This window comes from Homo sapiens, chromosome 2 (genome assembly GCF_000001405.40).
Source record: "Homo sapiens chromosome 2, GRCh38.p14 Primary Assembly".
NCBI classification, from domain to species: domain Eukaryota; kingdom Metazoa; phylum Chordata; class Mammalia; order Primates; family Hominidae; genus Homo; species Homo sapiens.
In genome coordinates, this window is record NC_000002.12 from 181,363,502 (window position 1) to 181,389,485 (window position 25,984).

The following is a 25,984-nucleotide window of genomic DNA, read 5'->3' on the forward strand; positions in this document are numbered from 1 at the left end:
TAGTGTTAACCCTCCAAAAAACAAGCTTTTTCTTGGAAAGAAATAATTAGAACTTCTAAAATGATATAAGAAAACAATCTAAGGAAAGTGTTACTTTGAACAAATGAAGCATAAACAGAAGACTCCAGGTAAAGTCTCTATGCTGTTAATGGTAGTTGTTTTTTGTTTGTTTGTTTGTTTGTTTTGAGATGGAGTCTCATTCTGTCGCCCAGGCTGGAGTGCAGTGGCGCCATCTCAGCTCACTCCAAGCTCCGCCTCCCGGGTTCACGCCATTCTCCTGCCTCAGCCTCCCCAGTAGCTGGGACTACAGGTGTCTGCCACCACACCTGGCTATTTTTTTTTGTATTTTTAGTAGAGACAGGGTTTCACTGTGTTAGCCAGGATGGTCTCGATCTCCTGACCTCGTGATCCGCCCGCCTCGGCCTCCCAAAGTGCTGTTAATGGTAGTTTTCAATAATGGCATTGATCTCTAAACTTTGGGAACTGGAAGCAGAATTTGAAATCCCTATAGAAATTTACAGAGATACAAAGAATTCAACAGTGTCTCCCCCTTCCACCTTCATGCCATCTTCCCAATCTAACCCAACCTGCTGCCTTCAAGAGGAGTAGGCAAACAAGCCTATTTATTGCAGTATCTGAAAAGTGGAAATGGGTAACTTGGACAGACAGTAATGCTGCTAATGTTGAAATAGATATGCCCCCATATCAGCCACAAGACCTTCAACATCAGGGTTATTATATCTTCCCAGGAAAACTTGCTCGCCAAAAATAGCTTCCAACTGTGTCTGAAATCCACCAGATTCAAAACTGAAAGAACAAAAATAATTTTTTTAAATTGTGGCAATGTAGTAATTGCCACAGTAATTATTAATATATTAATATATTATGTAATATAAACTGCAGGGAGATAAGTATTTGCCCTGATATTTTTAATATTAATTATTAATTATTACTGTGTAATTATTATGTAGTAAAAATTGCCATAGTAATTGCTATAGTGATTAAAGTAGCACTTACACTTTTGACCCTGGCAGGTATTATCTGACTAAATAGATTACAGAATGAAAAGTTCCATCAAACACTTGGATTTTTGAAGTATATGGATACTAGGCATTGTGATGAAATATCATACAGAGACTTGTTGAGAAAGAGAAGAGCTACACTGTTGAGCAAAGAAAAATATCAGGGCAAATGCTTATCTCCATGCAGTTTATATTACATAATATACGTGGAAGGTGGAAGGAAATACTTTACAACACATACGCCTGTCTAATAATGCCAATAAGGCTGTAGCAAAGGCTTTAAAATTCTTTTTTCACTATTTATGTTTTCCAAATCCACATAAAGCATTCCCTACATACTCGGGATGTTGTCAATGCTGTTCCCACTATGCGCCCATGACGATGAGGCAGGGATCATCCTTTTTCCAGGCAAAGATATCAGCCATGATCTATTTCAAAAGACTGCCTTCTTACATCCCTTCTCCCTTTTGCAATCCGGTTGCCGGAAGTGGTTAGTCTCTTGGAATTAAACCCGGCTGCTGTCAGCAGACATTTTAAAGTGGATATCTGAAAACTTCATGGAACATAAGCATTTTCTCTGGTTTTACTTTATATGCATCTGGGGCAAAATAAAGTTTAGATCCTCTTGTTACCTGATACAAGTTCATTTAAAAAAAAAAATGATTGAGCTACAGTGCCTGATTTTTACACTAGCTATTCTTCTGCCTGGCTAAACATTATACACACCCAAGGAATTTTTTATAAATACCATTGTCCCAGCCTAATAGAGTGTGGTGATTAGTACTTTTTTTTTTTTTGAGACAGAATCTTGCTCTGTCACCCAGGCTGGAGTGCAGTGGCGTGATCTCGGCTCACTGCAACCTCCGCCTCTTGGGTTCAAGCGATTCTCCTGCCTCAGCCTCCCAAGTAGCTGGGACTACAGGCACGTGCCACCACACCCGGCTAATTTTTTGTATTTTTAGTAGAGACGGGGTTTCACCATTTTAGCCAGGATGGTCTCGATCTCCTGACCTCGTGATCCGCCTGCCTTGGCCTCCCAAGATGATGGGATTACAGGCGTGAGCCACCGCGCCTGACCCTGTCATTAGTACTTTTTAAACGCCTGCCTACCAAGTGATTCTGATGCGAAACCAGGGTACAAAAACACAGATCAGGTGGATCAGGTGATAAGGAGTATGTTGAAATACTGCTAACAACATAGACTTTTCTATCTCACCAGAAACTTTTTGTTCTAGCTATCTGTTAAAAAGTTAAGAAATATTCTGCCCACAATGATTCTAGTACCTTTCTTTCTTATTTTCTTTGATGTCTTCTTGCCTATAGTGATCTTTGAAACATGCTAATTATACACAAGGATGCATTGTTCATGATAGCTGCCAGTTCCAGCACAAAAATGTGTGTATGCATACATACATGTTTTTAAGTGACACTGCTGCACCTTAGTCTGAATAAATTAATGTTTTTATCTAAATTGCATCATTTAGCCAAAACATACTTGTATATTAATGAAGAGCTAGCAACAAGTGAAGAAGAGAAGCAGAAAAAGTAGTAATTATAATTTATCAAGCTATAAGCCCAGGATCCTTATTTTCTTTAACCTAAAAAGGCCGGGTTGCTTATATGAAGCATTTCCCAACCATCCCCAAATGATCAATCGCAAGTCCAAATTCCTACCAGTGGTCCCTGCCTTTTCTACACTCTCCCTTGAGAATCTCTCATATCACTGCAGTTAGATGTCAGGTGATGCTGGAGTCAACTGAGGTCTCAACTGGTTGGATATCCAAGATGATTCACTTATTTGACTAGCAAATAATATTTAGTAGTCTTTATTTTTCCATGCCATATTTCCTGACAACACAACAGAAATTGATTGCATGAAGCTGTCAAGATAATTTTCATTTAACAATATTAATTGGTTGATTAATTAATATGTGCCAGGTTTTATGTTAGGTGAACCAGATACACTCTTTGCTCTCAATGCACTTACCTTTGAGTGGTGAAGCAAAAAAGGAATGGAAAAGAAAAATACAATACAAAACAAAAAATAAAACAAGAAATATTTGTGGAGATGTTAAGATCTATTTGAAAACTGTTAACTATGGAAATACTCAGGAATAGAATAGGATTAGTGAGTCAAGCAAGAGTTCTAAGATCTATTATCTAGTCTGAGACTTGGAAGTTGTATAAGTACTAGCGGTGTGAAGAAGGGAGAGAAAGAGCTTCAGGCAGAAAAAAATTACAAATATCAGGTGCAAATGTGAGAGAACACATGGTCAGCTGGAGAAACTACAAATACCACAGTATGGCTAGAGTAATCTACATATTTTATCATCTAAGACTGTCGAAGATTACTATATTTAGTGTCAAAATATTCACGGTCCCTCCTTGCCTGTTGTGTGGAAGCATGTCCCCACCCTATTGATATTAGTTTTAGCGATGCATCTGGCTTTGTTTAGAGAAAGATAAACAGAAGTGACATGTATCAATTTTGATCAGCAGTTTTAAGTCAGTTGGTGTTTCACCATCATTTACTTTCCACTGCCATCAAAGTAGCAACATCCTAGAAAAGGCTTCTTTATCAGCCTCCCAGGTACTGCAGTAAAGATGACATAAATCCAAGCCCCAGGTTGATCCATAATGGACAGGAAGTAAGAGTAGAAAGATAAACATTGAGTGTTACGGGCCTCTGACATTTGGATATTTTTTTTCTGTACATGACCTACAATATCCTGACTGATACACATTTAAGTGGTCCATTATTCTATGTATGTTTTGTTGGTGTTCCATACAAAACAAATAATAGCAACAAGCACCAAAAGCAAAACAGGAATTGAGGTGAAGCTTTCATTTCCCATGGCATTATTAATTCTTCTAAGCAAAATAATAAGTGTGTGACCTCTTAACATTTTACAATTGGAAGACAAAATAGACCTGAATAAATATTATCTTTCAGGGACTTTTAAACAGCCTTCCAGGGTTGCTTCATGATAAGTATGTGCTGTTACTGCTGTACTCAAGCAGATTCTGAATAGAATTCTGGGAGACAAATGCTTTGTTGTTGGGTGGTGTTCCACAGTGATATGATATGGTGGGTTACTGAGCACCGCCCATTTGGCCTGTACTCTCCCCTCGCCCCTACTAAGGCTAGCAATGATAAGTCTGTGGAGCCATTTTGATAAGCTGGTTCTTCTCTAAGGCTCTATGATTAAATCTATTAAGATAAGACTAGGAATCAATACATACACATTCTACTCTGTGGAGTGTCCTTCTTATATAAAACGGGTATTGATAGTAACGAAATAAAAAATGAAAACATTGCATTCTCAGGAGAGAAAATGCTTAGGAGATGGCTCGTTCCTCCCTTTACTGGGAGAGAGCGTGGCCTCATGGTTAAGACCAAAGACTTTGAACTTTAATTCCCAGCGCTGCCACTTGAAAGTAACTCCCTAAGCTTCTCAGTTTCCCTGTTTATATAACAGGGATAATAACACTACCTACTTTTCAGGGTTGTTTTTATACACACACACACAGACACAAACACAGACACACACACACAGAGTCATGTGTCACATCATGACATTTCAGTTAACGACAGACTGCATATATGGCAGTGGTCCCATAAGATTATAATAAAGCTGAAAAATTCCTTCTGCTTGGTGATGTTGTAGTCATTCTAATATAGTGTAACACATTACTCATGTTTGCAGTGATGCTGGTGTAAACAAACCTACTGTGCTGCCAGTCATGTAAAAGTATAGCATATACAAGTATGCACAGTACATAATGCTTGGTAATGATAATAAATGACTATGTGACTGGTTTATGTACTTACTATACTTTTACCATGATTTTGGAGTGTATTCCTTCTACCTATAAAAAAATGTCTACTATAAAACAGCCTCAGGCAGTTCCCTCAGGAAGTATTACAGAAGAAGGCATTGTCATCATAGAAGATGACAGCTCCATGCCTGTTTTTGCCCCTGAAGACCTACTAATGGGACAAGATGTGGACATGGAAGATATAGTGATATATTTCTGATATATATATAGTGATATTGATGATCCTGACCGTGTGTAGGCCTAGGCTAATATGTGTGTTTGTATCTTCATTTTTAACAAAAAAGTTCAAAAAATTTTTAAAAATTAAAAATTTCCAAAAATAGAAAAAAGCTTATAGAATAAAGACATAAAGAAAGAATATATTTTTGTATACTCATACAATGTGTTTGTGCTTTAAGCTAAGTGTTATTACAAAAGAGTCAAAGAGTTTTTTAAAAATTAAAAACGTATAGAGTAAAAAAGAGTAAGCTAAGGCTAATTTATCACTGAAGAAAGAAAAAATTTTTAATGTATTATAGTCTAAGTGTAGAGTGTTTATAAATTCTACAGTAATGTGCAATAATATCCTAGGCCTTCATATTCACTCATTACTCACTAACTCACCCAGAGCAACTTACAGTTCTGCAAGCTCCATTCATGGTGTGTCCTATGTAGATGTACTATTTTTAATCTTTTATACCATGTTTTTACTGTACCTTTTCTATGTTTAGGTATGTTTAGATACACAAATACTTACCATTGTGTTACAGCTGCCTACAGTATTCAGTATAGTAACATGCTGTATAGGTTTGTAACCTAGGAGCAATAGACTATACCATATAACTTATGTGTATAGTAGGCTATCACACCTGGGTTTGTGTGAGTACACTCTGTGATGTTCACACAATGACAAGATCACCCTAACAACACATTTCTCAGAACAGAGCCCCATTGTTAAGTGGCATGTGGCTGTATGTGCATATATATAAATATATATATATACACACACACACACACACACACACACACACACACTGAAGTGTGGTGTAGGTATGGTAATTAAGTTAAAAGCCTGTAAAAAAAGAACCTTGAACAGTGACTGGCATAAAGCTTTCACTAAATGGTAATAGTACCATTATTATCATTATGCCCTGTCACATGTGGTCCAGGCCCACTAAGGTCTACCACTCTTACAGTTTCTAAAGAGAAGCCCTGAAGGTCATACAGCTCTTCCCAGGAATAGCAAAACGGCAATAAAATTCCCTCTTCTATCACCTTGAATTAGATTCATGTAATAGAAAACCCATACTAATAGTGACTTTAAAAAGATAAAAGTTTCTCTCTCTCTCGCATACAAGTCATCTGGAGTTAGGTGGTCCAGGCTGGAGTGACAGAAACAAAGGCATCAGAAATCCACACCATCCTTCTCATTTTTTGTCTCTCATTCCATTCTCAAGTTTACCTCATAATTCCAGATGGCAACCAGAGCCCCATTCATCACATCTGCAGTCCAAACATCAGGAAGAAGGGACAAAAGTTAAGTATCCCTGCTGAGTCAGCTGACTTTAAGCAGGCTACCAAAAGACTGTTTCGTCTCATGGACCAGGAGTTAGTAATTTGGACACACCTAACTGTAAGGAAGGAAGAAAAATGTAATCCTTAGGTTGTTTGCATTCCTATGCCAAATGAAAATTTGTTCCTGAGGAAGAAGAGAAGAATGGATACTAGAAGGCACCTAGCAGTTTCAGGCCCTTCTTCACTCTTGGTGGGGAAGGTAAGGAGTTATATGTGAGCACAGATATATATCCTTGAACTGCTAAAATGCTGATCGTGGGCCCAAATGTGGGCCACAGGCTGGCCCTACAAGCCATCCACTTTTACTGGTTTAATTGACCCAGGAATAAAAGGGTTATAGAGGAATGTTCATAATATAAAGAGGAAACCAGAAGATTGTCTGCTTTATAAATCAATGACCGCTTTGTACCCTTTAGCAATTCCATGATGTGGCTTTTTCTCTATATTTCTTAGAGCATTTGGCCTTACTGACCCTTGACAAGTTATAAATTAGCCCATTCATCCTAAAGAGAAAAAGCGATACCCATTCTCATATAGTACCTTTTATATTTCTTTATTTTAAATGTTATAACTTTTCAAAAGAATGTATTTTCTCATACAATTATGTTGTCAGCTTATTGAAAGTATCCATAGACTTAAGAATACATATTAGCCAATGTGGTTGTAAAATATCTTCCATGAGAATTTTTTCTAAATTTTTATGAGTACTAGAAATTGAACTTAATTCTTCTTAACTGAATAAACATAAGCAAATTGTTGCTTCATTTTGAGTCGAACATATAATCTGAAAGCAGAAAATTCGATTCTAACTTGCTCCTAAAGGATATTTGAGATTAGGAAGAAGTCATAAAAGCTTATCTTATTTAATTATTGAGAAAAACTTTTAACATTTTACTATTTTTGTTTAGCCTATGTAAATATCTGCAAACTACCTTTTGAGGAAGAATTGATGCATTTAAAAAATTCGTTAGGCCTAATGATCTCAAATTAACAATTACTCAAGGACTATAGATTAATAAATGAGATACATTGTGAAAATGATTTATAAGATGAAGAACAATATACATATTCTTAGTTCTTGTTATAATCATGTTGGAAATTACTACGTTCATTTCATATTAACCTAATGAGAACAGAAGCTGTGAATATGAGTGAAATGAAAAAATATAACAGCCTATTAGGCTGTTTCCACAAAGGACATGATGGAATCATTAAAACTGTTTGTATATGAAGATCCAAAGATGGGGAGGGAAAAAGACCATCACCCTACAATGGAAGTCAGGTTAACAGGCACATATGAACAAAGGGCAATTGACAGCGAAGCAAACCCCATAAAGAATGAAGAGATCATGAGTTCAGAAGTCAAAGGCCTTCACTAAAAACAGGGTCCCTTTGCTTCCCAGGGCTCCACCACCCTCCCTCCAGTTCCCTGACAAAGGGCTGTTCTTACACTTGCCTACCACTCTTTTATGACCCCACTTCCTCCCTGAAACTTAGTCTGAACTCCCTTTTCAAAGGGAAAATGTTTTGCTTCCCAGAATCTTTCTCAACCTAGGTGTGCAGGCTAGAAATTCTCTAGGAACTTATGTTTTGGCTCAGAGAATTCACATATTTTAGAAAAGCCCATTCTATGCTAGGAAAACTATTTGAAGTCTCAAAATTCGATGAAGACTGATACTGTCAGATGCTTGGAAATAGGCGGAAAATTTTCTGGGTCCTGAGACACCTAATTCTCTACCCTTTAGAAACCTCATCTAGTCAATAAAAATTTAATTGAAACTGAAAAAGTAGAACATGAAATTTTGAATAAATCTAACTCAGGGCCTTTCAGATGTTGACTGGGCCAAAAGCAAACATTTTCTAATGAGGAAAACCACATCCTTCATATAACAAAGGCTGTTTTCAAAAACCAGAGGACCAGCATGGTTAAATAGACCATCTCAGACAGCTGTTCAAGTTCAACAGTGAAATAATTAGACATTCCACACTGCTGCCATTTGATATGAGGTGTCCAGACAAGGTCTTTGAGGCAGGGAGACAAGGGTCGCTAACAGAAGACACAATGAGAAAAAAAAAAAAAATGGTGTGAATGGAATGAGTAATACTGAATGGAATTAAGATTCTGCACTTGCTTCACCAAAGATTTATTCCCAAAAAATCCCAAACCTAAATAAAGTAAGGCCTGGAATGCTGGAAAGCTTTCAGAGCTGGGAATGTGTGTGAGGCTGCCAAATGGGTCATTGTTTCTAAAAATGATATGTCCCAAGATGACAGCAAACTTGTTTTTTCAGACAACTGGCATTCGTCTGTGTGATTGTACCAGCACTTCCTTCTTTCTTGATTTGTCCAGAATCTGTTCTGTCCTGACAGGGCTGGAAAGTAATCCATATGTGTTGCCAAATTGAAGACTATGATTGTTTGAGGGTTTTTGAATATTATGAATATAATTTTCATTTGGTATATGCTACTATAATATTTAGTGAAGGAAGAAGAAATAGGTCAGCTTGAGCATATCATTCAGCAGGCATTTGAGAAACTTCAGAACCTTGAGGCTTTAAAGAGCTTCCTGTTAATGAGGTCTTTTTATTTGAGTTCATATGACAAATTTATCATCTGTACATTTTCATTGTTTTTCCTCATGATTATTCCTCACAAAGAAGTCTTTCCAACTGCATTTCCCCTTGATAAGCATCTGTTAGAGTTGGTTTGTTTTGCTCTGGTTTGATTTATTGGCATTATTGATGATTGTTGGGAGTGATCTGGTGAAGAGCTACTGCTTTTTCTCCAAAGACTGATTTCTAGAAAATGTCTATGTTGCTGCCTCCTATGTCCTTGCAGTCTCTTCACTCCTACTCCTACCCTAGCCAGCTGCCTCTCTGTGTTTTTGTCTTGATTAAAGGCTTCACCACTTACACAAAGCTAGAAGTCATCCTGTATCATATCTGTTTTACCCCCACATGCAATCAGTCACCAAATCTTGACAGTCCTGCTTCCGAGATATCTATCTTTAGACTGTTGCTTCTTGTCCTTTCTCGTCGCCTCTTTATGAGGCTATTGAAATAACATTCCCACTGGCCTTCCTATAATGATTGAGCACCCCTTCCCTCCCCACTCCTGCCCCTACCCTACAAATGGCCATCCTAGGCAATACCAACAGTTATTTCTCTCCTTAAAGGCTTCAACTTGTCCCTAGTTTCCTGGAGGATAAATTCCACAGTCACCTAGGCACCAAAGCCACTTCTTATCATACCCTAGCTCACCTCTCCAGCCTCATCTCCTGCCACACCCTCCCAGGCCCTCTGCTTCCAGCCACTGACCATCTCACTATTCCCTAAAATTTTATACCTTTTATTACTCTATTTCTCTACACATGCAGATCCTGAGCTTTGAAAGCTTTAATTCACTCTCTCTGCCAGGCTTTGTTTTGTTTTTGTTTTTTTAATCAAGACGCAGCCCAATGTCTCTTTACCGTGACATCTTTCCCTGCAATACTGTACAGAGTGTGCTGCTCCCTGAAGTCTGTTGACACCCGTATTATAGCACGTGTCTTGTTTTTTTGGACTCACCTTCCCACACAGAAACCTCTCTAAACATTCCATGAGCTCTGTGATAACAAAAACCATACTTCACTCATCTTCTTGTCTTCTCCTCCAAGCACCAGGCCTGGCAAAAGGCAGGAGCTCAGAAAAATGTTTACTAAATGATTCTGTAAGGCAGGCATTTCCGATTGCTTATGGCTTAAAAAAAGCAAGTCTTCTGCAGCACTCTCTGAGAAAGCCCTACACACAGGCCATGATTTTTAGTGGCAAAGAAGTTCTGCGTAAAACCAATAAATGGAGCTACAATAGCAAGGCCAAAAATAGGAGTATGCCCTACTGACATTCATTTATTTATCTACCCATTCATTCATTGAACAAATATTTTTTTGAGTATCCACTGAGTGTCTGGCACTATGCTGAACGCATCAGCTGTAACAGCTGTAGGAAAAGATGGAGTTGCCTTTCTAAGCTTATCTGGAAACTCAGATAATTCTACCAGAAATATTCCCTGGGAAAATAAGCAATAGATTATGTATGTGTGTACACTGTAAATATATAATACATATAAACAAGAGTGATACTCAAAATATTTTAACCACCAGTAGGGCATAGACACTGACTACTCAGATTGGTACATATATTTTGCCCTGAACCTTGCCCACAGAAAAAATAAAGTGTACTGAACTGACACAGAAAAAGGTAGGAAAAGGCATAATGAGATGACCTACCAGCAAGCCTGGAGCCTAGGCTGCAGGTTTGAAGAGATGTTTTAGGTTTCTCCATTTTTGTTTCTTCCCAGCCTCAGAGAAAGGAATATCAGAAATGAAACAGAGACCAAAACATATTATTTTGCTGGGCATGGTGGCTCATGCCTATAATCCCAGCACTTTGGGAGGCCAAGGTGGGCAGATCACCTGAGGTCAGGAGTTCAAGACCAGCCTGGCCAACATGGTGAAACCCTGTCTCTTCTAAAAATACAAAAATTAGCTGGGTGTGATGGCAGGTGCCTGTAATCTCAGCTATTCGGGAGGTTGAGACAGGAGAATGGCTGGAGCCTGGGAGGCGGAGGTTGCAGTGAGCCATGATCACAGCACTGCACTCCAGCCTGGGTGACTGAGTGAGACTCTGTCTCGAAAAAAAAAAAAAAACATATATATATATATATATGTATATATATATATATCGTGTAAGTAGCCACACAAAATTGGTACCCATTTTCTAAAGACTATCAATCCCTGTACACTAAAAACATGGCATTCCTTCAAAAACAGTGGCTGTTTGTGAAAAGCAGGGCAGTGGTCAACCAAGGGAGACGATAAACCCAACCTTTACCGGCAAAGCTGATAATGAACAGTCAGTTGCATGCTATTTCACAGCTGATACCTCTTCCCACAAAAAGGAAAAAAAGGGGGAAGATGATATTAATTGTGAAAGTTTCACAGATGTCTGCAGCAGTTGACCAGAGCTCCTGGGTTATTGCTTGTCAGACTATTAATGGGTTTGCCTAACCATGACAGTCATTTCTTTTCCCCCTCCTGTGAGCTACTTTCTGTGTAATTTATGCATGGGTTTTGCCAAGATTTGACAACTTTCAGGATATTAACATAAAATTAGACTGCAGAGCTGAACAATGGGTGGCTTTAAAATTAGTCGTGGTGAAAACCAATCAAACAGAATTGGCTTTTCCTTTGCATTGCTCCTAAATTTATTATTGTTGTCTTTCTCTTCCACATATAAGAGTTCATGTCGGCAGTTCTGCACAGAATAGAGAAATGAGAAAGGGGTGAGAGGGTGTGACATCCCATGGCCTTGGAGAGGGACTCTGTAACCCAGGCAAGCTCCCTCTAGATGCAATGCCTGACAGAGGCTTAAACGAACCTCTGCAGCAACCACTCGTGAAATTTACCAAAGCACACACATATTTTGAAGCTCATCTGAGAGGAGAACTTTTCCTTTGCCATCTCTCGGTTCCACACAGCTTGCTTAGTGAATGCCATTACAGAATGCAATGTGCGTGTTAATAAGCCAGGACATCTGGTAACCAGCTTTTTTCTGATTCATTAACTGACTCTGCTTCTGTGGCCAGGGGGGATGAGAAGAGAAATTGGAAGGTTTTTCTTTTAGCAAACGGGCACTTGATGTATGTCTTGCTTCTTTGGTCTAGCCTCAACTTTTAAACTTTACTCCAAGGTTAGTATATAAATGCAAGCATCCTTTGGCAAGAAGTGTCTAGTCCTGTATAGAAAACAAATAGTACTTAAATTATTCTATATAGTACGAGAATGTAGGTAAGAGAAAAGGAACCTTAGGGCTTATAGACTACATCCTATTTTAAAGCAGAGAATGAAGGGAGCGAAGAACATGCTTAAGGTGACACAGTATAGTGGTGGCAAAGGAGGGAGCCAACTCCAGGTCTCTTGACCCTCAATCCAGTTTTCTTTTCTACCTTAACGCATTGCTTAACTAACTTTTGGATTTTTGAAATGTATTTTGCTGAGTTTTTTTGGTCAGCAAACAGTGCCTGTTTGAGTTTTCTTTTTCTGCCTCCTGTGCATATGCCACCTGAACGTCTGAGCAGATGACAGTGCCGAACCGGTCCTCCTGCCTCCTCTAATATGTGATTAGGGACCCACTCGAGCATTTCTAAGAGGTACTTAGGGATAGTTAATTTAAACTTTTGAAGAATGGAGAATTTCAATTCAGGTTGTGAACAACCCTAGGGAATACACTTAATGAGAATACAATGAAAAACTCACACAGAAAATAGAGCAAGGTTATGAAAATCTCCCAATGATTAAGATGAAAAAAATTAAAAATATTATTATTCTATCCAAAACTTTTTTTTTTAAACTTCTCATTGAAGTCAATTAGGTCCAAATGCTCAAGAGAGTGATTGAGTAAAAGAAGTCTGACTTGATGGTACATGTGGATGGATGAAATGGACAATGAAGTTTCCATATGTTGCTTTTATGCAGTAATTAGAAACTGTCACACACGGTTTCATTTTTTCATTTCCTTGGGCTTATTTGCATGTTGGAACTTCCTTTGGAACAGGATGGAGAGTATCAAACTGGCATCCAGTTGAAATGAGGAGCGGTGGCTTGTGGACACCCTCCCCACCTCAGGGACAGGAAGGAAGCCAGAGGCAGGTACTGTTGAGGCGCATTGCACAGGAGGCAGCGAGCAGACAGCTGTCCTGGATGCTGCTAACGTGGCGCTGCATCCTGCCTGCTTGCCCTCCAATTGGTCATTATGGAGCACTTTGGCTACCCTGAGCTGGTCTCCCTTTTAAAGCACTTTCATTCCAGCCCAATTATCTTTCCTTTACTATTTGCATGGTCAGACTTGAAGTCAGGGACCCTGTCATCCCTATTGCCAGGCACACAGTGGTTCCCATGGGTCCTTCACAAACCTAAATTAATAACCTTTACATGTCTGGATCTTCATATAAGATTTTTCTAGTTCTAGAAATCTTCACCCTTGTTAAAAAAAATAGAATAGGCAAGGCAGTTTTCGTTGCATAAGAATTGTGACTAGGAGGCAAAAACTAGAAGTCTTTTGAATGTCAATAGTATTCTAAAAATCTGCTGCTTGCTACTACTAAACTATTACTGGAGAACTGACAAATTCCAGGAGCTGAAGGCTAAAAGAAACTTCATTTGTCTAAGATGGTTTATCTATCTGGACAGCTACTCTACTGAATACTTAAATGACCTGGAACAATAAAAAGAATTGAATTATACAAGCATAATTTGACTTATGACACAGTAAAGAATTTTCCCAAATCAAATTTTGGTCAGAAAGAAATTTCTTGATAAGTTTAAAATGCCATCTTATCTAAGTCTTTTAAATAACTTATTTGATTAAAAAATACAGATAAGCATAAAGAAAAAAAAACACAGATAATAATCCCTATCTCCAGAGGCACGCATTATTACTATGTTGGTATTTGTCCTTTGACTTTTTTTAGTATGGGTATAAATGTGTTTTATATGTAATTTTTTTAATGACCAATAATGAACCTAGTGTTTTATAATACTTTTTCAGCATAAAAGGCATCAAGAACATTTTTTCATTATAAATATTTCTACTACATCATTTTAATAGCAGTATAGTATTCTAGACTATAGGTATTCCACATTTTATTCAATCTCTTTTTTAAGATATCTAGATGGTTTTAATTTTTTCTATTATACTTAATGTGATGATCACTCTCAAATATTAATCTTTGGCATGTCTTTATTTGCTTGGGGTATATTTTGAGAAGTGAAAGTGCTTAGTGAAAGGCTATACCCATTCTTAAGGTTTTTGATACATATTGCCAATGGCCTTGCAAAAAAAGTTGTATTAATTTAGAATCCCACCAGCAGAGCATGAGGCATTTATTTCCTGGATCCCCTGCCAACACCCAGCATTATGGTTCTTTTTCATCTTAGCTAATCTGAGGAGTGAAAATGGTGTTTCTTTTTTGTTTTAATTAATTTATTCTTGAAGCCAACATTTCTGAAGATAGAATGTCACCCACCTTCTCAATTACATGATTGCATATGCCAGTAGTTATACCTAGAATTCATTATTACATGTATTTTATAGTTATGTCATTTTACAGTAGGTAAAACTAATCTGTTTAGACACCAAAAAAAGCTGTATGATCTGCTGAGATAATACAGATTTATGTAAATTAAACATGGAGCCTATCTTATGCCTTATATCTGAGAAAATATAAAAGACAATGAAATTTAAAACATACTTTTGTGCTAAAAGAGGAAGGAGTGAGATAGCTGGAAGGTAATATTACTGGTCAACACAATGGAAGGCGTCCATTGGCTACAGTGCAACTGCTGGAGGTGACTGTGTTGGTATCTGTAACATGTTGATGTGTGAAGTGAAAAAATGAATCCTATTCCTCAGGAGAGTTCTGCATATGTCAAGTATATTGTCTCATTAAGCCAATCCATTTATCAACCCACTGAATGCCAATTAAATTGCACAGGATGGTGCAGGTATATGGTGAGCTGTTGGTGCCAAACTTTATTACAGCTGAGCTTTTCTGGCGCAGTATGTTCCACCCAGCAAAATGGCAGGCATATCAAAGCCAAATTAAATGTTCTTGAAATAATGCCTTTAAAGAGGATGAAATGCCACAGCCTGGCAGAAAAGAATGTGAAACGTAATGTCAGTTCTTAGTGTACTTTTAGTTCCAATGAAGATGTCAAGGCTCAGATCCAGCCAGTGCCAAATGTCTTCACAGCGTGCAAATTAGATCAGTGTAATTTCATCAGGAGAATGATCAGACTCTGCTGTAGTTATGGCTGAATTCACTGCTTCTGCCGAGGGCTGGGCTGAGGACCACGGGGCCCAGCTGAGTTCATGCTGCCATCCTTAGAAAGAGAGAGAACCAGATTTAATGGATTGCTCTCTTGATGCCACAGTGGAAAGTTAGTCCCACCTCTCAGAGATATTGCTAAATGAGCATCTAACATAGATTACGATGCATTTGTTTGGAATTTTTTAAAATCTGCTTAGTGAAAATTAAACCCCAAGTCACTGAAATACCAAGCTAGCTGCCAACGGGCATTACAAGCAAAAGAGGTTTATGTTTGTAACTAAGCATAATGTTTGTATGAAAATTTACAGATATTGATATTAAATACTTAAAGCATTCAAATTCCAGGTATGTTTAGAAACATATAATCTAATACGTTGATATGACAAATATTCTTAAGGATCAATACAGAAAAATAAATAGCTAATATAAAACAAAGAATCCTGAAAACCTCTTACTATAAAACAGAAACCCAATAAGAATGTTGTGAATAATTTTTAGTGTTAAACAGAGGAAAATGGTATAGAGTAAAGATCTTAGGAAGGAAATGATAAATGATGTAACTTACAGTCTAATGTTTGGAATAAATTGGAATAAACCAATTTTATGACATGATAAGTCACTTATTATCATGAAATTGTTGCCTGCTTTGAAATGGTTTCTTAATGCAGCACTTAAAAATACTCCTGAAATGTTTAAAAACAGAATTTTTGCATACTTTTTTTTTTTTAACCAGAGCAATAATATCAGGATTCTTCTTTGAATTTGTTGGTGTATCCTTAGTAAAGACAAAGAAGGATTCCCAATGCATGGGTGCAATTTTTAAGAATAACCAGAATTCTCAGTTTCATGTTTAAGGAAGTTGTAGTTGATTTTCAACCTTTTCAAACCATATACATTCTACTGTAATAAAGCACTTTGTTTTAATGCCAATTTGAATAATGTTTTACAATGTTTATTTTATAATCCTTATAAAATATATTTCAAAGGCTAACAAATATAGAGGAAAATAAAAATTACCCATAAACGCCCATCCAGACATAACAACTGCTATTACTTTTATATTTTTTCCAGTGTTGAGTATGTGAATATTTTTTCCCAAATTGAGGTACTATTGTTTATAAAGTTTGACTTCTGCTTTAAATATAACATTCTATGCCATTAAAAAGTCTTAAAATTATTTTAATGATACAGAATATTGTGTGTAAGATCCCCTATTATTGGAAATTTGTATCAGTATTTAGCTATTACCTTCACGATGAACATTCTTATAAATAAACATTTGTCCATATTTGATTAATTTGTTTGGACAGACTCCTAAGAAGTGGCATTACTGAGTTAAAGGTATGAATTTTCAAAGTTCTTGTTTTTACTGTGTTACTTTTCAGAAACTATCTTTAAACCTGTAATTTGTAGCCCCCCAAAAAACAATAACTTTACAAAATCAGATCTATAAAATTCCATTTTCGTATTCTAACAGCCATATCATGACGTCTACCTTTCGAACCTTAATTTTATGGAAATAGGATAAAGAATAGGGAAAACACTCTAAAACTGTGAGATCTGAGGGCAGTAGGAACGTAGCTGCCTTTCTTCTGTTGTTTTTCATGACTGAAGGATGTGCTATGCATTCTCAGTTACTGGCAAATAATTTGATTGATTGATACAATTAGCTTAGAGCATGCTTAAAGTCAATGAAAAATTATTCTCCCAAGCGTTGAAACTATTTTAACATTAACTATATATTTAATCAATATAGACAAGCCAATTATTTACCATAAGCTAGTGTTACTTTTAATTACTTTCATTCCTGTATATCGCTTCAGAATTAGTTAGACCTTCTGCTGTGGAACTTTCTTTCATTTCCTATTTTAGCAATAGGCACAGGACCCAAGGCTATCTCTGGGGCTTGCCAAGACCCCAGATGCCAAGCTTTGGAACATTCTAGTAGCAACATCTGGCCTTTTGGTGAGCTCCACAGGCAGTTGTGCACTCAGCTCGGAACTGCCTCTGGGGATGTCACATGGTCAAATGACCTACTGATATTTCGGCTAGCATGCTCTCTGAGGAAACATTTGTCTTTCTGCTCAGTTTGAGTAGGTAGCAGATAAAATTAGAGCTATTAAGTGGAAAAATGTTTTCTACAAAAAAATCATTTGTTTTAAAATCTTAATTCTTTAATTGGTAGAGTTGCATTGCAGCTTGGTTTCCAGCTGTTCATTACTTTTTTCAGGAATCAGGAGAGACACTGACTAGTTGAGTTCAGGATAAATTTTGTACAGCTACATAGAATTCATAAAAGATGGCCACACTTGCATTCAGGGTGGCTTAAAATATTGATGATAATTGGGGGAGAAAGTATTAATAACTCCAAGACACTTCCTCAAAAATAACCTTCTCGATTTACTGGATCAAGGACATTTCCTAAGCATATACAATGCTGTGACCCAGTAGAATATTTGTTTACCTAAGTCTTTAGACTGCTGTAGATCTCTTTTAATGTCTTTTTTTAATCAAGAGATTAAAACCTGTATTCAAATAATACCAGTAATTTTTAAAAGTTATTATCAATTTAGCATAAAAATTAAACCCAAATGTTCCCCTTTTGGGGTATGCAAGATTAATCAGGCACAAGGAAAAAATGCAACTAAATTAACAAATTGCCTCCAACATTTTCTATTTTTTAAGGGAAAAGAAAAAAAAGTATTTATGAATATTTCGCATACTATGTGGAAAATAAGATCTAATAACACATCAAAACGCATGGAATTCTTCAGATATGTATTTCTTTATGGTATCTTCTTCTTTGTGCTTCTTTGCTTTATGTCTGTTTATACTTCTTTATGTTATCATTTTTAGAAATTGCCAAATTTGCATTTCTTATTAAATTCTGTTTATCATGACATTGCTATGTAGTTCATTTTCATTATTAATGAAGTAGTCACAATTTCACACTTCCTTATATTTCTGCATTTTAAAAGCAAAAATTTGTTTTCATTTGAGTCTTTAATTTTTTAGTATTGTTGTTAAAGAAAACATTATTTATATAATCTTTGAATTAAAACATTGAATGAGTGGTTAGAATTTTCTACAAGACTCAAATTGTTTACATGTAAATGTCTTATTTCTGCAATGAAATCAGAGGGTCTTCCTATTAGATATTAACTGAATATTTACTCACCTTTCAAAAGAAATTTTTAAAAATCCCTGCCACAAGGACAACTTAGTAAAACATGGCTACCATATGATATCTAAATGATTAAGATTGAAAGTCAGTATGATAGTCCTCAACTAAACCCAATACAATGGGAATCATTGATTGGGTGCTAAAATTATAGCAAATGGGCCAGGCACAGTGGCTCACGCCTGTAATCCCAGCACTTTGGGAGGCTGAGGTGGGCAGATCACCTGAGGTCAGGAGCTGGAGACCAGCCTGGCCAACATGGCGAAACCCCGTCTAGCTGGATATGGTGGCACTTGCCTGTAGTCTCAGCTACTCAGGAGGCTGAGGCAGGAGAATCACTTGAACCGGGGAGGCAGAGGTTGCAGTGAGCTGAAATCGCCTCACTGCATTCCAGCCCAGGCAACAGTGAGACTCCGTCTCAAAAATAAATAATATGAAATAAAATTATTGCAAATGGTTTTGATATTGCTTTTTTATTAAAAAGGCAATAATTTCTTTTTAAACTCAGGACTCTGGAAACAATCAAATTAGTCAAAATTATGTGGGTTACTATATCCTGTTTTGTAAAACTATCAACTGGAACAGAATTATATGTAATCACCTTGTAAATCTGGCAACTAAGAGGGGGAATTTCTAGTTTGCATTTGGCACCAGGCTCAGATTCAGCAACAATGCAGAAACTATTAAACCACATTTAACTTTGCCCCCTTCTCTTCAAACCTATCCTTTTATTCAATTCTACTGACCACCCTGGTTTCTATGTGGTCTAAACAAACGGGGAACAACTTTTTACCCTGTCGTTATAGGAAAAAATGATATATCTTTGAGCAGGAAATCAGCAACCCAAAGTGGTGGCAGGATAATAATCCATCAGAGCTTTGGCCCTGTCACTGATGTTCCTTCAGGCCCATACATTCCTCCTACTTGGGCATGTGGTAGTGTCACCAGTGTGACAGTCTCCAGCTACTGCCTTAGGCTGTAGCAATAAACTGCAGCATGGGTATGGAGGGAAGGTAGGACAGGGAAGTAGAGACATGGTAAGAGGCTGGCACAATTGGAAGGGTGGCTGCACTGTAAGAAATAGGAAACAATAGGACAGTCATTGTGGCTTATGCCTGTAATCCCAGTATTTTGGGAGGCCAAGGCAGGAGGATCTCTTGAAGCCAGGAGTTTGAGACCAGCCTGGGCAACAAAGCAAGACCTCATCTCTACAAAAAAAAAAAAAAGAAAAAAAAGTGTTTTTAAATTAGCTGGGTGGAATTGGATGTACCTGTAGTCCCAGCTACTCAGGAGGCTAGGGTGGGAGGATCACTTGAGCCCAGAAGTTTGAGGCTGCAGTGAACTGTGATTACGCCACTGCACTCCAGCCTGGGCAACAGAGTGAGGCCTCATCTCTAAAATAAAAAATTAAAAAAAGAAACAGGGAACACAGAACAATAAAGTTGCAAGCAACATTCAGGTCTTGATGTGCTAGTAGAGTTGGGATTAAAAAGCAATTATAGCTTTTTGTACAGAGAAGTGACATTTATACAACTACAAGTTTTTTGGTAGATTCCAGTTTTTCTTACTTGTGTATTTATTCCCATACTCTTCCTTACTCCTTACCTTTTTTTTCTCTCTTAAAAAGCTCTCATAAGGTGACACTAGCGAAACGGCAGATTCAGGACCTCTGAAAATTCTCTCTTCTGTAAAAGCAATGAGAAAACTGGCAAAAATGGTCAGAATTTATGTTTTCCAAACTCTGGAAATTAATGAAGCCCTTTCAGAAATTTGGAAAGTATTTATTGGAGCAAAACAGCAGAATCATGGTAGCAACAGTGAGCTTTGTGGCATTTTAAACTTGTTCTATTCCCATCCCCACTGCTGATCTCAATGGTAACCTTGAAAACTAGCCATCCATATTCAAAGTGAAAACCAACAGCATGGCAGCCACTGGAGGGGGAAAAAGACAATTGGAGCACCTTCAAAATCCCATTCTCAAAGATCTGTCATTATTTGACTTGTCAGGTAATTCTCTAGGGATGCCTATTTGCAAGATTATCTTTATTTCACCTGATTCAGAGCTTCACCAGGCTCTTCTCTTGTACAGAGAATAGTCTTTTCTCTTGTACAGAGAATAGTCTTTTCTCTGGAGATTCTGTAGAAAACACAGGAATTGTTAACACTGTGGATGCATAGTCATGAATAACAGTTGGAATGAACAACAAGCTAACCAAAATGCTTAAAAAAATGGGGAAGTGGGGGAATCAGAAGTCCATAGGGGCTTTGATAAGTCCTTCTAATCCATAAAACCATGGTCGTACATTCTCAGAAAAAAGCTCAGAAAGGCCCTAAGCTCTCACCTTGGGGCTCACACAAGCAGGAAGTGAAGGCCCAGTCAGAGTTCTCAATTGCCTGGCTGAATGATGATGGCATATTCCAACATTCACATAGAGCCCCTTGCCAGAGATTAGGAGACTCATTGGTTCTAGGCATTGAAGAAAATCTCTGTTCAATTACTGGCTAATCATTATCCTAACTGAATACAGATTTCAGTGACCACACATGAAAAGGAACACAGACTTACAGAATTTATTAAATAAACAAAAACAACAGCAATAAACCCTGGGGAATTTGCTGGAGAAGAGGAAGATTCTGATTTCCAGAGTTCTCACATTATTGAAAATGCCAAATTTTAACAAAAACTTATGAGACACTTGAAGAAACAAGAAATTTGGCCTATGCATATTTTTTATAAAGCCTTCAATAACAAATGCCCCTTAGGAACCCTAAATATTGGAATAATTAGACAAAAATTTTATGCTATTTTAAATATGTTCACAGAATTTTTAAAAATGTTTAAAGTAATACAGGAAAATATGAGAATGCCTCATCTTGAAGGAACATTTTACTGGATGTAGAATACTTGGTTAGCAGTCTTTTCTTTCAGCATTTTGAATATATCATCTCTCTGCCTTCTGACCTCCATGATTTCTTATGAGAAATCACCTGTTAATCTTGTAGAGGATTCCTTGCATGAGATGAGTCATGGCCTTCTTGCTTCTTTGAAGAATCCCTCTTCGTCTTTTTCTTTTGAAAGTTTGATTATAATGTGTCGAGGTATGTATCTCCTTAGAGTTTATTGAGCTCCTTGGATGTGTAGATTAATGTCTTTTATTAGATTTGGATAAATTTCAGCCTTTTTTTTTCTTTTCTTTTCTTTTTTTTTTTTTTTTTTTTTTTTTTTTTTGCCCTTCTGGCTGGGACTATCTTTATGCATATGTTGGTATACTTGATGATATTTCACAGGTTTCTGGGGTTATATTAATTTTTATTCATTCTTTTTTATTCTGTCCTTCAGACAGAATAATCTCAGTTGGCCTGTCTTTAAGTTCACTGATTCTTTCTTCTGCCTACTCAAATCTGGTGTTGACCCCTTCCGGTAGATTTTTCATTTCAATTATTATACTTTTCAATTCCAGAGTATCTATTCAGTTCATTTAAAAAATAATATCTATCTATTGGTTTTCTCTATTTGTAAAAAAGAAGTAGACAATATGAATACATCTATAACAAGTAAAGAGATTGAATCGGTAATTAAAAACCTCCCACAAAAACACCTAGGACCAGATTACTTTGCTGATGAAAGCTACCAAACCATTAAAAAACACCAATCCTTTGCAAATTCTTTCAAAAAATGTAAAAGAACGAATGCAACCAAACTCATTGTAGGAGATCAGTTTTGCCCTGATACCAAAACCAGGCAAGGACAACACACACAAAAAAACAACTACAAACTAATATTCTTCACAAATATTTACCAAAAAAAAAATCCTCAACAAAATACTATCAAACCAAATTCAGCAACATAGAAAAAGTATTTTACACTATAGCAATGTGTAATTTGTCCCAGAATGTAAGGTCAATTTAGCACCTGAAAATCAATCAGTATAATATACTGTATTAATAGAATAAAAGGCAAAACCTCATGATTACCTCAATAAACACAGAAAAAGCATTTTGACAAAATCCAACATTCTTTTCTGATAAAACACTGAACCAACTAAAAAGTAAAGGAGAACTTCCTCAATCTGATGAAGTATATCTATTTATTTAAAAACCCACACCTAACATCATACTTAATAATAAAAGACAGAAAGGTTTCCTCCTAAAATCAGAAACAAGATAAGAATATCTGTTCTTACCACTTCTATTCAATATTGTACTGGGACATTATAGCCAGGGCAATTAGGTAAGAATAAGAAATAAAAAGCATCCATATTGGAAAGGAAGCAAAACCCTCTTATTTGCAGATGACATGATCTTGTGCATATAAAACCAAAATTCATCCACTGAAAAAACCATTAAAGATAATAAACAAGTTGGCAAGATGACAAAATACGAGATTAATATACAATAACCAGTTATATATCTATACACTAGCAATAAACAATATGAAAATGAAACTCAAAAACCAATTCCGTTTACAATAGCGTCAAAAAAATAAAATATTTAATACTTTAAAAACAAGGCTTACACACTGAAAACTATAAAACATCACTGAATGAAATTTTAAAAGACTTAAATAAAATAGATTTTTCATATTTATGGATTGGAAGACCTAATATTGTTAAGGTGGCACTACTCTTCAAAGTGATCTACAGATTCAATATAACCCGTCAAAATCCCTGCTGCCTTTTTTCCAGAACTTGACAGGCTGACGCTAAAATTCCAATGAAAATATAAAGGAAGCAGAATAGCTAAAACAATTTTGAAAAAAGAACTAAGCTAGAGGTCACACATGTCCCAGTTGCAAAGTTTATCCTAAAACTACATTAATCAAGATTATATGGGACTGGTATGAAGATATACATACATACATCAGTAGAATCAAAATAAAAGCCAGATATGTATAGTCAGTTGATTTTTTACATGGATGCCATGACAACTTAATGCAGAAAGGATAGTCTTTCAAGAAATTTGGCTGCGACAACTGAATATCCAGTTGCAAATGATAGAAATTGGACCCTTTCTTCATTTCCTAGTAAAAAAAAAAAATTAACTCAAAATGAATCATATTAATGGCTAACTATAAGAGCTAAAACTATGACTCTTGGAATTAAACATAGGTGTATATCTTAATGACCTTGAATTAGGCAATGTTTTCTTATGAATGACAAGTAAAGCACAAGCAACTTTATAAAGAATAAATAGATAAATTGGACTTCATCAACAATGAAAATGTTCGTGTTTTACGTACACTGTCAAAAAAATGAAAAGGCAATTCACAGAATGGGAGAAATATTTGCAAATCATCTACCAGATATATTCTAGCATCCAGTATATAAAACTATTACATGCAACTATTTAAATAAAAGAAACAAAACCACACTAATAAAAAAAGGGAAAAGATTTGAATAGACGTTTCTCCAGAGATCTGCAAATGGCTAAGAAGCACAGTAAAAGAAGCTCAACATCATTAGCTTTCAGGGAAAAACAAATCAAAACTATGAGATAACATTTCACATCCACTGGCAGGGTGGTCATCAGGAAGTAGGGCAATAACAAGTAATGTCAAAGACGTGGATAAACTAGAACCCTCATACTTTAGCTGGTGGGAATGTAAAATTATTCAGCCACTTTGGAAAACAGTTTGATTGTTAAGTTAAACATGAAATTATCAATTGACCCAGGAATTCCATTCTAAGAAAATTGAAAACATATATCCTTATAAAAACATGTACACAAATGTTTATAGCAACTCTGTTTATAATAGTCAAATGATGGAAGCAACCTAAATGTTCATAACCTAATGAATTCTTATGCAAAATGTGACATATTCACACAATGAAATATTATTCACCCATAAGAATGAAGAAAGTACTGACTTATGTTATAGTGTAGGTGAACCTTCAAAACATTATGCTAAGTGAAAGAAACCAGATGCAAAAGGCCACATATTATTCCATGTGTATAACACATCTCAAAATGGCAAATCTATATAGAGACAGAAAATTAATCAATGGTTGCCAGGCACTGGAGGGGGGAAGTGGGAAGGGACCGCTGATAGGTTTGGGGTTTCTTACTGAGCTGATAAAAATATTTTAGAAATAGATAATGATAATAGGTGCACAGTCTTGTGAATATATGAATAACAACTGAATTGTACACTTTAAAATAGTGAATTGTATCATGTGAATTATATATTAATTTTAAAAATTCTCTCATTATCTCCATCCACCCACCCCACCCTAATGGTCATAGTTATAGTTATTGATAAGGAATGGTGCTACATGGTCAAAGAAGAGATGTTTTCAACTTCTTTTTCAACCATATTAAGCCTTTAAGTAGACTGTGTACAGAGGAAAATCTTATTGCACCTTCTCCCAGCTCTCAACACACCAACATTTTATACAAATAAAATCAAGTTATTAATACCACAGATAAGCTAGAAGAGAAAATAAATTTTAAAAAGGCAAGACATGATGTTGTGTGTGAAAAGAACTTGAATCTTCCTGAAAACAAGGCTGATGATGTCCTTCCCGCTTTGAGAACCTCCGTGGGCTCCCATTACCTTTACAAAACAGCCCACATTTCTTTTTAGGACCTGCAAAACTTTACATTTCTAGCCTAATTTCCTAGAATCATACATGCACTCTTTAAACCCTACTCACATTAAATCTCTGTATTTTCTGAACATACTAAGATTTTTTTTTATGATTCAAAACCTTTAAATACACTTTTACCTCCAACCAGAAAGTAAGATTCTTTGCTTGAATTTCCTTAGAATAATTTTATATAGGTTTATCTTTTTGAAAACAGAAATTAATGGCTCAGTGGCTACTACATATAACTCAACCAATGAATTTGTATGTCTGTTTCTTTTGACAAACATCATCTTTATAGACTATTTCAGACATATAATGTCATCATTCTGTATATTGTGTTAGGAAAAATTATCAAAAACTTAGGACTAAGGCAAAAAGAAGTCTGCATGTCCTTTCAATGTCACACTGGAATATCGTCCAGGAGATCACTCACGGATTAATCATCTAGGGGAATGGAACTTTGGTTGTTTGATTATTAACTCCTAATTAAAGCCTAGACTGTGAAGTTTCATCTTACTTTGTAGATTTTTATTTTGAAGAGATGCAAATGAACACTTTTTGGCTAAAAAAAAAAAAATTAAAACACAAATATTATTGTTTTATTGACTATAGATTATTATGCTGTTGTGTATTTAATCCAGCAATTTTATTCTGACTTTCTTTCATCATTTTCTATAAGCATTCAGTTCCCCAAATACTCTTTGAAGCAATTTTATCATCCTGGTTGTTCCCTCATTAGTGAGTTGAATAAATCTTTGACTTGTTCTTATTCTGTATTCATATATGAGTTATGTCATTGCATTTTATGGCAATTTTACATTATGTACTAAATTAAGTTGCCCAGTTTTCAAAAATCTTCCTAAGAGTTGTACCATAATTAATTTTTCTCAACTCTATAGTATTTTCCACAAAAAAACTATACTGAAATTAAA

At 36.2% G+C, this 25,984-nt stretch overlaps 1 long non-coding RNA gene across 1 annotated transcript in view; it reads left to right on the forward strand.

Moving 5' to 3' along the window:
* LINC01934 (long intergenic non-protein coding RNA 1934) overlaps positions 1–25,984 on the forward strand; it is a 275,717-nt gene that overhangs the window by 239,665 nt on the left and 10,068 nt on the right. The gene's annotated exons all lie outside the window — the stretch shown is intronic.